Source organism: Homo sapiens, chromosome 6, assembly GCF_000001405.40.
Source record: "Homo sapiens chromosome 6, GRCh38.p14 Primary Assembly".
In the NCBI taxonomy this organism is placed as follows: domain Eukaryota; kingdom Metazoa; phylum Chordata; class Mammalia; order Primates; family Hominidae; genus Homo; species Homo sapiens.
Window position 1 is genome coordinate 65564102 of NC_000006.12, and position 15402 is coordinate 65579503.

The 15402-nt window shown below is 35.2% G+C and overlaps 1 protein-coding gene across 4 annotated transcripts in view, besides 1 other annotated feature; it reads right to left on the minus strand.

The window, feature by feature from the left end:
• Nucleotides 1–15402, minus strand: part of EYS (eyes shut homolog) — a 1987247-nt gene that overhangs the window by 1844122 nt on the left and 127723 nt on the right. The window lies entirely within an intron of this gene.
• Nucleotides 4739–5378: an enhancer, noted in NCBI's record as "OCT4-NANOG-H3K27ac hESC enhancer chr6:66278733-66279372 (GRCh37/hg19 assembly coordinates)". NCBI's record gives its function as "activates a minimal SCP1, AML or CMV promoter by ChIP-STARR-seq in naive H9 embryonic stem cells {active_cell/tissue: H9 hESC(naive)}" and the evidence as "EXISTENCE:reporter gene assay evidence [ECO:0000049][PMID:30033119]".

Here is a 15402-nt window from a genome sequence, read left to right on the forward strand (position 1 = left end):
ACTGCTCAAGGAAATGAGAGAGGACACAAACAAATGGAAAAACATTGCGTGCTCATAGATAGGAATAACCAATATTGAAAAAATGGCCATACTGCCCAAAGTAATTTATAGATTCAATGTTATCCCCATTAAGTAATCATTGACTTTCTTCAAAGAGTTAGAAAAAAACTACATTAAATTTCATATGGAACCAAAAAAGAGCCCATATAGCCAAGACAATCCTAAGCAAAAAGAACAAAGTGGGAGGCATCATGCTCCCTGACTTCAAACTATCCTACAAGCCTACAGTAACGAAAATAGCATGGTACCGGTACCAAAACAGATATACAGAGCAATGGAACAGAACAGAGGCCTCAGAAGTAATGCCACACATCTACAGTCATCTGATCTTTGACAAACCTGACAAAAACAGGCAATGGGGAAAGGATTCCCTATTTAATAAATGGTGTTGGGAAAACTGGCTAGCCATATGCAGAAAACTGAAACTGGACCCCTTCCTTACACCTTATACAAAAATTAACTCAAGATGGATTAAAGCTTTTAACATAAGACCTAAAACCATAAAAACCCTAGAAGAAAACCTAGGCATTACCATTCAGGACATAGGGATGGGCAAAGACTTCACGACTTTTAAAACACCAAAAGCAATGGCAACAAAAGCCAAAATTGACAAATGGGATCTAATTAAACTAAAGAGCTTCTGCACAGCAAAAGAAACGATCATCACAGTGAACAGGCAACCCACAGAATGGGAGAAATTTTTCTCAATCTATCCATCTGACAAAGGGATAATATCCAGAATCTACAAGGAACTTAAACAAATTTAAAAGAAACAAACAACCCCATTAAAAAGTGGGTGAACGGCCGGGCGCGGTGGCTCACGCCTGTAATCCCAGCACTTTGGGAGGCCGAGGCGGGCGGATCACGAGGTCAGGAGATCGAGACCATCCCAGCTAAAACGGTGAAACCCCGTCTCTACTAAAAATACAAAAAATTAGCCGGGCGTAGTGGTGGGCGCCTGTAGTCCCAGCTACTTGGGAGGCTGAGGCGGGAGAATGGCGTGAACCCGGGAGGCGGAGCTTGCAGTGAGCCGAGATCCCGCCACTGCACTCCAGCCTGGGCGACAGAGCGAGACTCCGTCTCAAAAAAAAAAAAAAAAAAAAAAAAAAAAAAAAAGTGGGTGAAGGATATGAACAGACACTTCTCAAAAGAAGACATTTATGTGGCCAACAAACATATGAAAAAAAGCTCACCATCACTGGTCATTAGATAAATGCAAATCAAAACCACAATGAGATACCATCTTACGCCAGTTAGAATGGCGATCATTAAAAAGTCAGGAAACAACAGATGCTGGAGAGGATATGGAGGAATAGGAATGCTTTTACACTGTTGGTGGGAGTATAAATTAGTGCAACCATTGTGGAAGACAGTGTGGCAATTCCTCAAGGATCTAGAACCAGAAATACCATTTGACTCAGCAATCCCATTACTGGGTATATACCCAAAGGATTATATATCATGCTACTATAAAGACACATACACATGTATGTTTATTGTGGCACTGTTCACAATAGCAAAGACTTGGAACCAACCCAAATGCCTATCAGTGATAGGCTGGATAAAGAAAATGCGGCACATATACAACATGGAACACTATGCAGCCATAAAAAAGGACTAGTTCATGTCCTTTGTAGGGACATGGATGAAGCTGGAAACCATCATTCTCAGCAAACTAACACAGGAACAGAAAACCAAACACCACATGTTCTCACTCATAAGTGGGAGTTGAACAATTAGAACATACGGACACAGGGAGGGGAACATCACACACCAGGGCCTGTTGTGGGGTGGGGGGCTAGAGGAGTGATAGCATTCAGAGAAATACCTAATGTAGATGATGGGTTGATGGGTACAGCAAACCACCATGGCATGTGTATACCTATGTAACAAACCTGTACATTCTGCACATGTATCCCAGAACTGAAAGTATTAAAAAAAAAAAGAATTGAGCAAACATATTCAGGCATGGCCAGTAAAGGGCAAAATGTTGGAATTTGACTTTCCTTGGGGACATGTATAGGTGTTTACAGTAAGGGTCAAAATGGTGGAGTTTGACCTTCCACCAGATGCACTAGACTGGTAAGGGAAAATTTCCCCAAGAGAGCATGCCTGTAACTTCAACCACCAAGTGGCGCACTCAGCTCCTCCAGTATACTGGCAAGTCACTGAGCATGCGGTGATTAGCCAACAGCTCACACAAGGGGAAGGATGAGGGGACAAGACCTCGAAAAAAAAAAGAACAGGAAATAACAATTCTTTAAGAGCCTTGAACCAACAATCAGGTAGGGCACTCAATCTGTTGAGTTGCCCACTTGGTTTCTTCCAAGTGTGTTTTTCTTTGCATCAGTAAACTCTCATTTCTGCCTTAAATCTACTTTTGTGTGTTGGCTGAATTCTTTCTCTGAACAAGACAAGAATTGAGGACTGCAGAGTCTACCCAGACTTGCCACCAGTAACAAAAGTTAAAAAACAAAAACAAACAAACAAAAACCTCTATATTTAATCATGGTGTCATCAGCCTAGCTCTATGACCTTAAGAAGCTAACTTAACATGTTAGAGCCTAAATTTCATCATCTAAAAAGTAAGAAAATTATACACAATGAATTCAGAGTTTCCTTCTTCTCTAGGTTTATATGATTTAGTAGTTTAAAAAATCATATCCAAAGAGTTAGCTCAGAAATTAACAGAAAGTACAAAATTACAATATGACTGCATTTTTAAAAATCAAAGAAAATTTGTTTACCACAGAAACATAGGTTAAATTACTTAGCACATCATCATGATTTTAATATGTCCCCCCAGATTTCATGTGTTGGAAACTTACTCCCCAGTTCAAGTGTTGGTAGATGGGGCCAAATAAAGGTGCTTAGATCATGAGGGCTCTGCCCTCATGAATGGATTAATGCTGTTATTGTGGGAATGGATTGTTATAAAATCTAGCTCAGTCCCTTCTTGCTCTTGCCCTCTCTTGTCCTTCCACCTTCTGCCATGAGAAAACATTGCAAGAAGGCTGTCACCAGATCCAGGCACTTCAACCTGGGAATGCCCACTCTTCAGAACTGTCAGAAATATATATGTGTATGAATAATATATATATATACATATATACACACACATATATAATATAAACATATAAATTAAATATAAGTTACCTGTTCTAACAGATACATTTTCTAAAATGGTGACCAAAATGAAATGAAAAAGTATTTATATTTGTATAGTAATAAAAGAGAAGTAAAAATTTTAAATTATAAATTGATGTTTATTAAATATATATTATTAGTCAACATTCTATCTAAACTCTGTAGTCTAAAAAGAGTAGGTAATAAAAATGATGCAGCTTTTTAAATAAGGCCAGATGATCGCTGAATGTCTTCTAATATTCCACTGAAGGATTGCTTCAAAAATTCAAGTCCAGTAAGGATTATTTAGGTTTCTAGGAAATGTATCATTATTTTATTTTTCATATTTGCTATTAATGAAAGCCTTACACTTGGTGAAGTTATATGTTAACCTCTAGTTTTCAGACCAATTAAAATAAATTTTGGTAGTAAAAAAGATAAACCCTAGCGGATTTATAGTTATGCAGGGTTTTAACCAGTTTCTTTTCTAAGCTAGTTATATTATTCAAATACTGTCTTTGAATATTGCTCCCTTAAGTGGGCCTCTCTGGACCCTTAACTGAACTCATAATTGCCTAATTAGCTTGCTAATGTTGTGGCTCAGAAAACAATACCCCAAAATATGACATTTTGACATGCTGAACTGAAGATGAAGCTCAGGTTCTCTGATTTTTCCCCACCTCTCCATGTATCTCCCACAGATGTTGAAGTTTCCGTTTTCCCACCTAGAACAAGAATTATTTTTTCTTCCCCCTCCCTATTACCTCATTATCTATTGCAGAAAAGAAGATCAAGAGTAACAACTCCTGAACAAACCCTTTTACAATTATGATGACTGTCTCTGAGGATTATTTAAATCCCCAACTGAACTATTTACAAGTTAATCTGTGTTCCTGATCCATATCCATTCATTCCTCCCTAGAAACCATTTATTGTCCTTCAATAGAATTCCTCTTCTCCCCTCTCCCATAACCTGTTTTACCAGAATCTGAGCTCCCACTTTCTTTTTTTCTTTTTTTTCTTTTTTTTTTTTGTAACCTCAAGATGGTATATAAGCTTCCTCATAACTCGTTGGAAAGTTGGGTCTTCATTTTAAAGGCTTCTGTGTATATACACTAAATACATTTGCATGCCATTTTTCTTATCAGTCTATCTGCCTCATGTCAGGGATTTTTCAATGACTCTTTAAGGGACCAAGAGCCCAAGGCCCCCTCACTAGCTATTTAAACAATTAAATAAACTTTTTAACACATGTTTATGTTTTACATAAGTGAAAATTATACTTTAAATTAAAAACAGAAAATAATAGCAAAAGAGTTGAGCATGACTTTTCAATGACAAAATTAGACTAGGAAATTTCTATGTAGTCATGTCCTCCAAGCTGCTTTTGTTTCGAAAGTGGCTCACTTATTTGATTTTCTCAGGAGAAGCAGTTGAGAAACAGTGCTGTGTATGTCAGGCTGTCTTTTCTAATTGACAAAAGTTACTCATGACTTATCTCAAGAATACAAAATTGAAGAATTAGAGACAAATGTACGTATAAAAAACACTGATGAAACCACATTTGCAAAAATGATCACAGTGAGAATATTATGACAGTGAAAGTGATCTGACCTGAGTCCATCTTGCCTCTAACTTCCAAACTGTCCTTGTTCATCCCTGGGCATAGGCCAAACTAACTTTGTGAGGAACTTAGTTTACAATTTAACTTTGAGACAACGATGATAACTGTCAGGCCTCTGAGCCCAAGATAAACCATCATATCCCCAGTGACCTGCATGTATACATCCAGATGGCCTGAAGTAACTAAAGAATGACAAAAGAAGTGAAAATGTATTGTTCCTGCCTTAACTGATGACATTACCTTGTGAAATTCCTTCTCCTGGCTCATCCCGGCTCAAAAGCTCCCCCACTGAGCACCTTGTGACCCCCGCCCCTGCCCAGGGAGAACTACCCCCTTTGACTGTAATTTTCCTTTACCTACCCAAATGCTATAAAACGGCCCCACCCTTATTTCCCTTCACTGACTCTTTTTCGGACTCAGCCCGCCTGCACCCAGATGAAATAAACTGCCCTGCTGCTCACACAAAGCCTGTTTGGTGATCTCTTCACACGGACACCAGTGAAAATAACAGTTTTTCGAAAACAAATCTTCTTCTTGCCTGGGGACCAGACTGCCATTGTAGGACTAACAAATTAGCTACATGATTACAAATTATGGCTTAGGAGCCATGCAGCTGGTGGCCACAAGATTCCGAACCTCCTCAGTTGTTCCCAGGGTTAACACCACTCTCCTAAAACCTAAGATTGGTGCTCAAGATATTCTTCAGACTCTGCACTCAGTGGATCAGTTGCCCCCACCCAAATCAATAAACTGGCTCATCTGGTTTTGTGGTCTCAACCCAGGATCTGACTCAACACAAAGGACAGCTTTGATTCCCTCTGATTTTATCTCCAACCCGACCAATCAGCAATGCTCACTCCCTGGCCCCCTACCTGCCAAATTATCCTCAAAAAGATCCAGTCTCTGAATTGGGGGTGAGACTAATTTGAGTAATAATAAAACTCAGGTCTTCCTTTCAGACTGCTCTGTGTGAATTAAGCTCTTTCTCTATTTTAATTCTTTTATCTTGATAAATCAGCTCAATCTAGGCAGCAGGCAAAATGAACCTGTTGAGTGGTTACACTGATGTGGAAGGACAAGGGAGTTGGAATGAGGGAAAGAGGAGTCAGCCATGAAAGAAAGATTCAAATATTCTAAGTATGGACTCTTATTCCAACCTCAATGCCTGGCAGGTTTTCAGCTCTAGGTGTGTGGGGATAGGTGGAAAATAAAAAATAAAATAAAAAAAAGTTATTTTCCTCTAGGGAAAAAGTAAAAGGTATTCAAGGGGATAGATTTCCTCCTCCAATTCTGCCAGTATACTCGAGATTACTGAACAATTTCCCTACCAACTAAATGAAGCTTGCAAAGAAAGAAGAGCCTAGACCTTTCTTAAGAATAGTAATGAATTAGCATCATAAATAGCCTATGCAGAAAACATGCTGAATTATGCTTAGCAAATAGGTTCTCTATACTCTTCAATGATTTACTAGGACGTTTTTTGGGAACTCATCAGCAAGTCATTTTGAAGTTATTATGCTGTGATTAACTGCTGTGCCATTTTTCCCCTCAAAATTCATGAAAAATGCAGAGTTACTATCTACTTCACCCACTGTATGAGTTTCACAACTGACTTTTATCATGATCTCTCATGCTGGGTTTATAGATTGCTTGAACTGGGGGTGAGAACTCCTGCTGATACTGTCACAGAGCAGTCTAGTTAGGTTCCACTAAGTGAATCTGTTAAAACTGTCAACAAAAAATAGCCAATAACTTTTAAGATAAACAGAGATGGACTCTTTCCTACAGTGTATCTAGAAATGGAAGCTGAATAAAGTCTCAATAAAAAGAAAGGTTTTGTTTATTTTCATTCCTTTCCTTTTGCATTATTGTTTGGACTGCTTCTGGAAACTTCAGCCTTAGAAATAAATAGAAGTGAATACCTTTTAAAATGAATGTCTTCAGTAGATTAAAAGTAACTGAAGATTTTTTTCAATGTATTTTTTACTTGCTCCTTTGTTTATATTCTAAAAGAAATGTACTTGGAGGCCATATGTTTTAGAAACTCCATTACACATGTACATTTGTTTCTCGTTATTCACATCAGTTATGTTCTGTAAGGTTGCCATAAATACTGAATAATTGCTTTGGTGGGGCGGGAGAATATATATTACACATATTATACTTTAGAAAAACAATAGTTTTCATTCTATCCTTCTAGGCTTTCAGCTGGGGCATTTGTAAAAAAAGACAGATTAACAAGAGAAAAACAAACATGTATATCTCATACATACATGGGAGAAAAGACAGGGCAATCAACTCTCAAAGGGGTAGCTCAGCATTTAAACTTAAATACCATCTTCAGCTAAAATATATATATATAAAAAGAGAAGGATATCTGAGAGGTAAGTTATGGCAAGGTGACCATGAAAACCAAGGTGAACAAGAATAAAAGTTGATAGGCAGATTTACGTCAGTGCCTTCTCCATAGATAAAATTACCTTGTGATTTAGAGTCATATACTCTTTCTGGTACAGAGAAGGATAGACTTTTACAAATAGAAATTTCCTTTATAAATATACTTTTCCCTTATAAAAGTGTAATTTCTACTCTGGCTTTAGAGTTTCTATTATATCTGCTGTTTCTCAAAATAATCTTCTAGGTCAAAAAAAGTGTATATTTTATTTTGGGATGACATAATCTGGTCTCCTATAGCCATAGTCCCGGGTAACATATTCTGATCCACTATAATATAAATTCCATGTACTATGATCAGTTGCATTTCTAAACAACAATAGTTCGATAATGAAATTTTTCAAATGCTTTTGATAAAAATGTATAATGCCCAAGTTCAGTCTATATAGAAAGCTTTTATAAAAAACATTTTTTAAAAAACCTTCGAAAAACAGTAAAGAAGATCCAAATCAATGAAAATATATGTTTATGGATATAGGGTTTAATACATTCAAGATGTCAATTATGCCTAAATTTATCAATAGATTTTAAGAAATTTCAATCAAATTTTCAGCAGATCATTTGTAAAACTTGAAAAGATGTAATGAGATGCATATGGAAAGGCAAAAGCCCAAAGTTACAAACATTAAATAATTTTTTTTAAGGAACATTACCTAAAATGAGAAAGGAAAATCTTCTCTGGTGAATATCAAAACATGAAAAGCTATGCTTGTAAGATACCATAATTTTACTCCATTAATTCCTTTTAAATCAATTCATGAAACAGAATATGGCGTTTAATTATTGAATAAATATGACAGTGTAGACAAGCTGGAAAATTATAGACTCTTCAATAAATCATGCTGGAATAACTGTATATCCTTACGGAGATACAAATTTATATAGCAGTCTTTCATATTCAAAAATCAATTTCTTGTAAATTAAATACATGTATGTGAAACATAATGTTAAAAACTTTTAAAATACATGTCTTGGTTCTAGATAGAGAAACAGTTCTTTAAAAAGGCACAGAAGCCAAAAATAATAATAAACAATGTTGTTAAGTCTCAGAAAATACAAATCATAAGTAAAGAAAATTAAATGATAAGCCACAAATTAGAAGAAATTTTTGTCACACATGAAAAATCGATGTGGGGAAGGATAAATTATATTTCTTTCTACTAGTTTTATCATATGCAGGGGAAATGAAATTAAAATATACAGTCATGTGCCACATAAGAGTATTTCAGTCAATAATGAACCGTATATAAGATGGTGATCAGAGCAACAGGCGATACCATGTAGTCTAGGTATGTAGTAGTCAGTACCATCTCGGGCTGTGTAAGTATACTCTTGGATGTTCATACAATAATAGCAAAATTGTCCAACAATGCATTTCTCAGAATGTGTACCTTTTGCTAAGCGAAACATTAATATATTTATATATGTACTCCCCCATTAGTTTTATGTTTTATACAGGAACATCTATTTTAAAAATTGCAAAAAAACCATGATTAAGCATTTTAAAAATCTATTTGCATGCTTTCCATTAAACAAAACTACATTTTTCTCCAGGCAGCTTATACCTGCTTTTTGATAGATGTTATCAAGACAATTGATGATTTACTTCAATGGGCTGAGGAGATAATTCCATGGAAGCTCTTAAAGATCTAATATGTGTGCTTCTGAAACATCTATAATTTAGCCTTTATGGTTATGTTAATATAGGCAATGAGAATCAGGAAATTCACCTTGGGAGTGATGTCACAAAGATTGCGGAGTGGGCATAGCAGCTCTCATCTCCCCCTCAGAAAAACTATAGACAGCTATTCAAAATCAAAAATAGGCCAGAGAGGGCTCAAGAGCTCATTAATGAATCTGCCACAACATGTTGAAGCAAAAATGGAAAACATGTATATAGAAAGGATCACTGATGAGATCAGAATACGCAAGATGTCAGTACAAGCAAAGAAGAAATGTAAAAGCTACTGGTATCAGCTACATGGTCGGAACCACTGTGGTCTCCACAAGTCTGCTCTGCAAAGGAGACCAGCATCTTTTGCCACTGAAGGAATCAATAGCTATCCTGGCTGAGGAACCCAGAGAGGGAGACGCCACTGTTTACTCTTCTCCCACACAAGAATTGGCTGCTGTTCAGTCACCTCAGGAAAGAAACTTCTTCAGGAAAAGAACTGCCACAGATACATGCATATGTTCACGCAGGTATTCTGTGCAAAACCTGACCCTGAAGCCCAGCCTCCCTGTAAGTGCCCATGTTTCAGCTCCAGGCTCTGTGGCTGTACTGGTACAGCCTACCTTTCAGATACTGGAACCACAGCTATAAGATGTTAGTTTGCACACATAGGCTCCAGGGCCAAATTCTTGCAGTATATGCCCATGCTTTGAACATCAGCCCAGCTGTGATGAATACCTGTTTCTGAAGCTGCTCTAAACCTGCACACACCTGCATTCCCATTCTCATCTTCTCAACTATTTCATGAGTATACTGTTTCATGATCACCTTGCATACTGTTACTAATGTGGCAGTGTAAGCCTCTATGACCCAGGCACTAGCTCAGCTGCCTAGAGAGTTAAGCAGTATCCTAGTCCTGGGGCTGCTCTAACACTGTGCATGCCTATTCTGTCATTCTTGGCACTCTGGCTAGTTCACAATCATCCATGCCTCACAGACAGTAACCAACATGGCAGTGGGAGTCCCTGCGCCCTAGGCACTAGTGCTATTACTGCCCCAGTTCCCAAAACTGTAGTTTCTCCACACATTCTCATTCTTTAGTCCTCAGCTTTGTGACTGTTCCATGTGTGCCACCCAGACATCGGTGCCACTGGCACCTCTAGTGGGACCCTAAACCATTCCGAGTGCCAAGAGCAACCCACTAGCTACAACAAATATCTAGGTACAGGAAAGTCAAAGGTCTCCAATCAAATTCGGTCCAAACAAGACTACACAAAGACACGATATAATCAAACTGTCCAAAATCAAAGACAAAGAGAAGGTCCTGCAAGTAGCAAGAGAAAAAAAGCATAACACATAAGAATGTATGTACACTGAGAGTGAAAGAATGGAAAAGATATTCTATGCAAGTGGATACCAAAAGAGAACAGGAGTAGCTAGCTATGCGTGTATCAGGTAAAATAAACTTTAAGTAAAAAACTCTAAAACAAAACAAAGAAGGGCAATATATAATGATAAATGTATTAATTAATCAAGATGTAATGATTGTAAACATATATAACCAACACTGGAGAAGCTAAGTAATAGTAATATATCTGAAGAGAGAAATAGACTGTAATACAACAATAGTAGGAGTCTTCAATACTCCACTTTCAAAGATGGGCAGATCATCTGGACAGAAAATCAGTAAGGAAACATCGGACTTGAACTATATGCTTTAGAGCAAGTGGCCTAACAGACATATACAGAACATTTTAACCCACAGCTACAGAAAACAAATTTCTCTCAAGTGCACATGGAACATTCTCCAGCATAGATTATACTTTAGTCCACAAAAGAAGTCTTAACAAATTTAAGAAGATTGAAATCATATTAAATATATTTTTGACCATAGTGTTATGAAACTAAAAATAAATGGTAAGAGAAATTTCAAAAAAGAATAGAACTATTTGAAAATTAAACAGCATGGTCCTAAGCAACAAACAGGTCAAGAATAAATTATGGCTGGACGTGGTGGCTCACGCCTATAATCCTAGCACTTTGAAGGCCAAGGTGCATGGATCACTTGAGGTCAGGAGTTCGAGACCAGCCTGGTCAACATAGTGGAACCTCATCTCTGCTAAAAATACAAAATTTTTTTGTATTGCAAGTGTGTATTGCACACTTGTAACCCCACCTACTCCGAAGGCTGAAGCAGGTGAATCACTTGAATCTGGGAGGTGGAAGGTGCAGTGAGCTGAGATCATGCCACTGCACTCCAGCCTGGGTGACAGAGTGGGACTTCCTCTCTAAATAAATAAATAAATAAATAAATAAATATTGATTAAAAGAAAAAAGTTTAAAAATATCTTCAGAGAAACAAAAATGGAAACACAACATATTCAAAATTAAAACATTTAGCAAAAGTATTTCTAAGAAGGAAGTTTAGTAATAAATGTCTACAAAGAAAAAGGAAAAGATCCCAGATAAACAACCTAATGTGACAGACATATCAAGGAACTAGAAAAAGAACAATATAAACCCAAAGTTTGTAGCATGAATGATATAATAAAGACTACAGTAGAAATAAATAATATAGACATGAGAAAAGCAACAGAAAAGAAATCAACCAAATTAAAATTTGTGTTCTTTTAAACTAAACAAAATTGACTAACTTTTAGCTAGACCAACAGGGAAAAAAAAGAAAGACTCAAATATATGAAACCAGAAATTAAAGAGGAGATATTACAATTGATAACACAGAAATATAAAGGATCTTGAAACCACTTTAAACAATTATACACCAACAAATTGGATAACCTAGATAAAATGGATAAATTCCTAGACACATACAAAATACCAACACTATTTTGTGAGGAAAAAGAAAGTTTGATCAAAACAACAACAAGTAAAGAGATTAAATCAGTAATGAATATTCTTCCATCAAAGAAAAGTCCAAGACTTGATGGTTTCAGTGCTGAATTCTAGCAAACAATTAACACCAATTCTTCTCAAACTCCTCCAAAAATTAAAGAGGAGATAATACTTCCAAATGGATTTTATGAAGTCAGCATTACCCAAATACCAAATTCAGAGAGCACACTACAACAAAAGAAAATTACAGGTCAATAATCTTAATGAACATACGTGCAAATTCCTCAACAAAATAACAGCAAAAAGATTTCAACAGCACACTAAAAGGATCACTTACTATAATCAAGTGGAGGATTTATCCTTGGATGCAAGGATAATTTAATATATGCAAACCAGTAAATGTGATTCACTACATTAACAAAATGAAGGACAAAAGTGATATGATTATCTCAATGCATGCATCAAATAAGTTTGAAAAAAATCAACACTCTTCTATTATAAAAACTCTCAATAAATTAAATATGGAAAGAATGTACCTCAACACAACAAAGGCCATGTATGAAAAGCCCATAGCTAACATTATACTAAATGGTAAAAAGTTGGAAGATTTTCCTGTAAGATGAGGAATAAGACAAGTATGCCCACTCTCCCCATTTTATTCAAAAATAGAGTTGGATGTCCTAACCAGAGAAATTAGTCAAGAGAAAGAAATAAAATGCATCCTCTTTAGAAAACAAGAAGTGAAATCATTTTGGTTTTCAGATTACATAATCTTATATATAGAAAACCCTAAAAACTCCATCCAAAAACTGTTAGAACTAATAAATTCAGTAAAGCTTCGGGATACAAAATCAACATACAAAATTGATTAGTGTTTCCATGCACTAACAACAAACTATTTTTAAAAAGTCAAAAAATAAGATTATTCACCACAGCTATAAAACAAATACTTAGGAATAAATTTAAACAAAGAAATGAAAGACTTTGTATACTGAAAACTCTAAACACTGATGAAAGATATTAAAGAAAAAACATAAATAAATAAAACATATCTCCTCTTCATGGATTAGAATAATTAATATTGTTAAAATATCCATACTACCCAAAGCAATCTATGAATTTTATGCAATTTACATCAAAATTTCAATGACATTTTTCACAAAAATAGACAAAATAATTTTAAAATTTAAATGAAAACACACACAAGAAAACCTAATAGCCAAAGCAATCTTGAGTAAAAAGAACAAAGCCAGATATATCACACTACCTGATTTCTAAATCTATTACAAAGCTATAGTAATCAAAACAGCATGGTACTGGCAAAACAAGCAAACAAACAAAAACCTGTTGTCCAATGGAACAGAATAGAAACTCCAAAAATAAAATCCATGCATTTATGGTAAATTTATTTTTGACAAAATTTCCAAGAACACAGAATGAGGAAATGACAGTCTTTAAAAAATGGCACTGAGAAAACTGGATATCCCTATGCAAAAGGATGAAGTTAGACTCTCATCTCTATCTAAAATCAACTCAAAATAAATCAAAGCCTTTAACATAAGACATGAAACTATACAACTACTAGGAAAAAACACAGAGGAAAAGCTCCATGACATTAGTCAGGGTAATAATGTTTTTGGATATAACCCCAAAGACACAGACAACAAATCAAAAATAGACAAAGTTGATTACATTAAACTAAAAAGTTTCTGCACTGCAAAGGAAACAATCAACACAGTGAAGAGGCAGTCTACCAAATTGTAGAATATATTAGTAAACCATACATCTGATAAGGACTTTATATCCAAACTATATAAAGAACTTAACTCAATAATATTAATAATAATAAAAGCCTGTTTTAAAAAAAAAAAAAATGGACAAAATACCTGAATAAATATTTCTCAAAAGGAGACATACAAATGGCTAGTTGGTATGTGAAAAAAATGCTCAAATTACTAATCATCAGAGAAATGTAAATCAATCCACAATGAGATCTCACCTCATGCCTGTTAGAATAGTTATTATAAAAAGAGGAAAGATAACTGCTGGAGAGGATGTTAAGAAAAGGGAACAACTGTACACCTGTTGGAATATAAATTAGTAAAGACCTTATGAAAAACAGTGTGGAGGTTTCTCAAAAAATTGAAAATAGGAGCACTAAATGATCCAGGAATCTAACCAATAGGGATATATCCAAAGAGTATGAAATCAGTATGTCAAAGAGATATGTCTACACTGCACTTTTTGCAGCACTAGTCACAATAGTCAAGGTATGGATTAAACAGGAGTGTAGATCTACAGATGAACAGATAATGAAAATATATATATATACACACAATAGAATACTACTTAGCCTTTAAAAAGAAGGAAGTCCTATCATTTGTGACAACGTGGATGAACCTAGAGTACATTATGTTAAATGAAATAAGCCAGGCACAGAAAGACAAATACTGCATGATCCTACTTACATGTGAAAACTAAAAAAGTCAAATTCGTAGAAAACTAGAAAAGTCAAATTCATAGAAACAGAGTAAAATTGTTGTTACGAGAGGCTTTGGGGTGGAATTCTTGGGAGGATGTTGGTCAAAGGACACAAAATTTCAGTTAGAGAAATAAATATAATAGATCTATTATACATCATGGTGACCACAGTAAATAACAATATATTGTATACTTAAAAATTGCAAAGCAATAGATTTTGAAGTGTTCTCAGTATTAAAAAAAATGATAAGTGTGTGAGGTAATGCATAGGTAAAATAGCTTGGTTCAGTTATTTCACAATTTATACACATACCAATACATGTTGTATACCACAAATATATACATAATTTTTACTTAACTAAAAATTAAATTTACAAAAACAGAAAAGAAATTGGACTCATCTTTCACATATTTAATTTAATCTTGCAACAAAATAACCTCATAAAAAATTGAGGACTATAACTAATTTATTAATCCTTTTATAAAATGTTCTTGCATATTGACTGAGGCATTAAAGAAGCACAAAGATTACAACGTACCCCATTCTCTTATGGTCACACAGTATTTAATTAGATAATTAAAACTGTTTAGTATGTTTCTAGTTTAAATTATTTTCCAAAGCTGTGTAAGAATAAATCCAGCACACAAAAGAAAACACATTTTGTCCAGTTACTTTTGCTCTGACTGGATTAAGTTTTCTTCAAATATGGCAGTGACCTAATGGCCAACTCAACTTTGACTAATGAGAAACTTTTGACGATTATTCGTTTGCCTGTATACATGTGTTTTTTTGTTCCTTTCTTAGGGAACTTAAGCATACTTGAAAATAGCAAGTACTTAAAAAACATAAGCCAGTTACAAGAATCAAGAAGATACAACATATATTAGATTTAGAAACTTGAATATGAGGCAGCTTTATAGACATTGAAATACAAGGATTTCCAAAGTATAATTTTAGTGAAGAAAAGGGGGAATATAAACAGTATGCTGATATTTGTACAGAAAATACATATATTTACAATATATTTCTGGAAATATATATCAGAGACGGCAAAGGTCTTTGTGTATTAGCCAGCTCGGCTGCCAAAAGAAAATATCATAGACTGGGTGGTTTAAACAACAGAAATACATT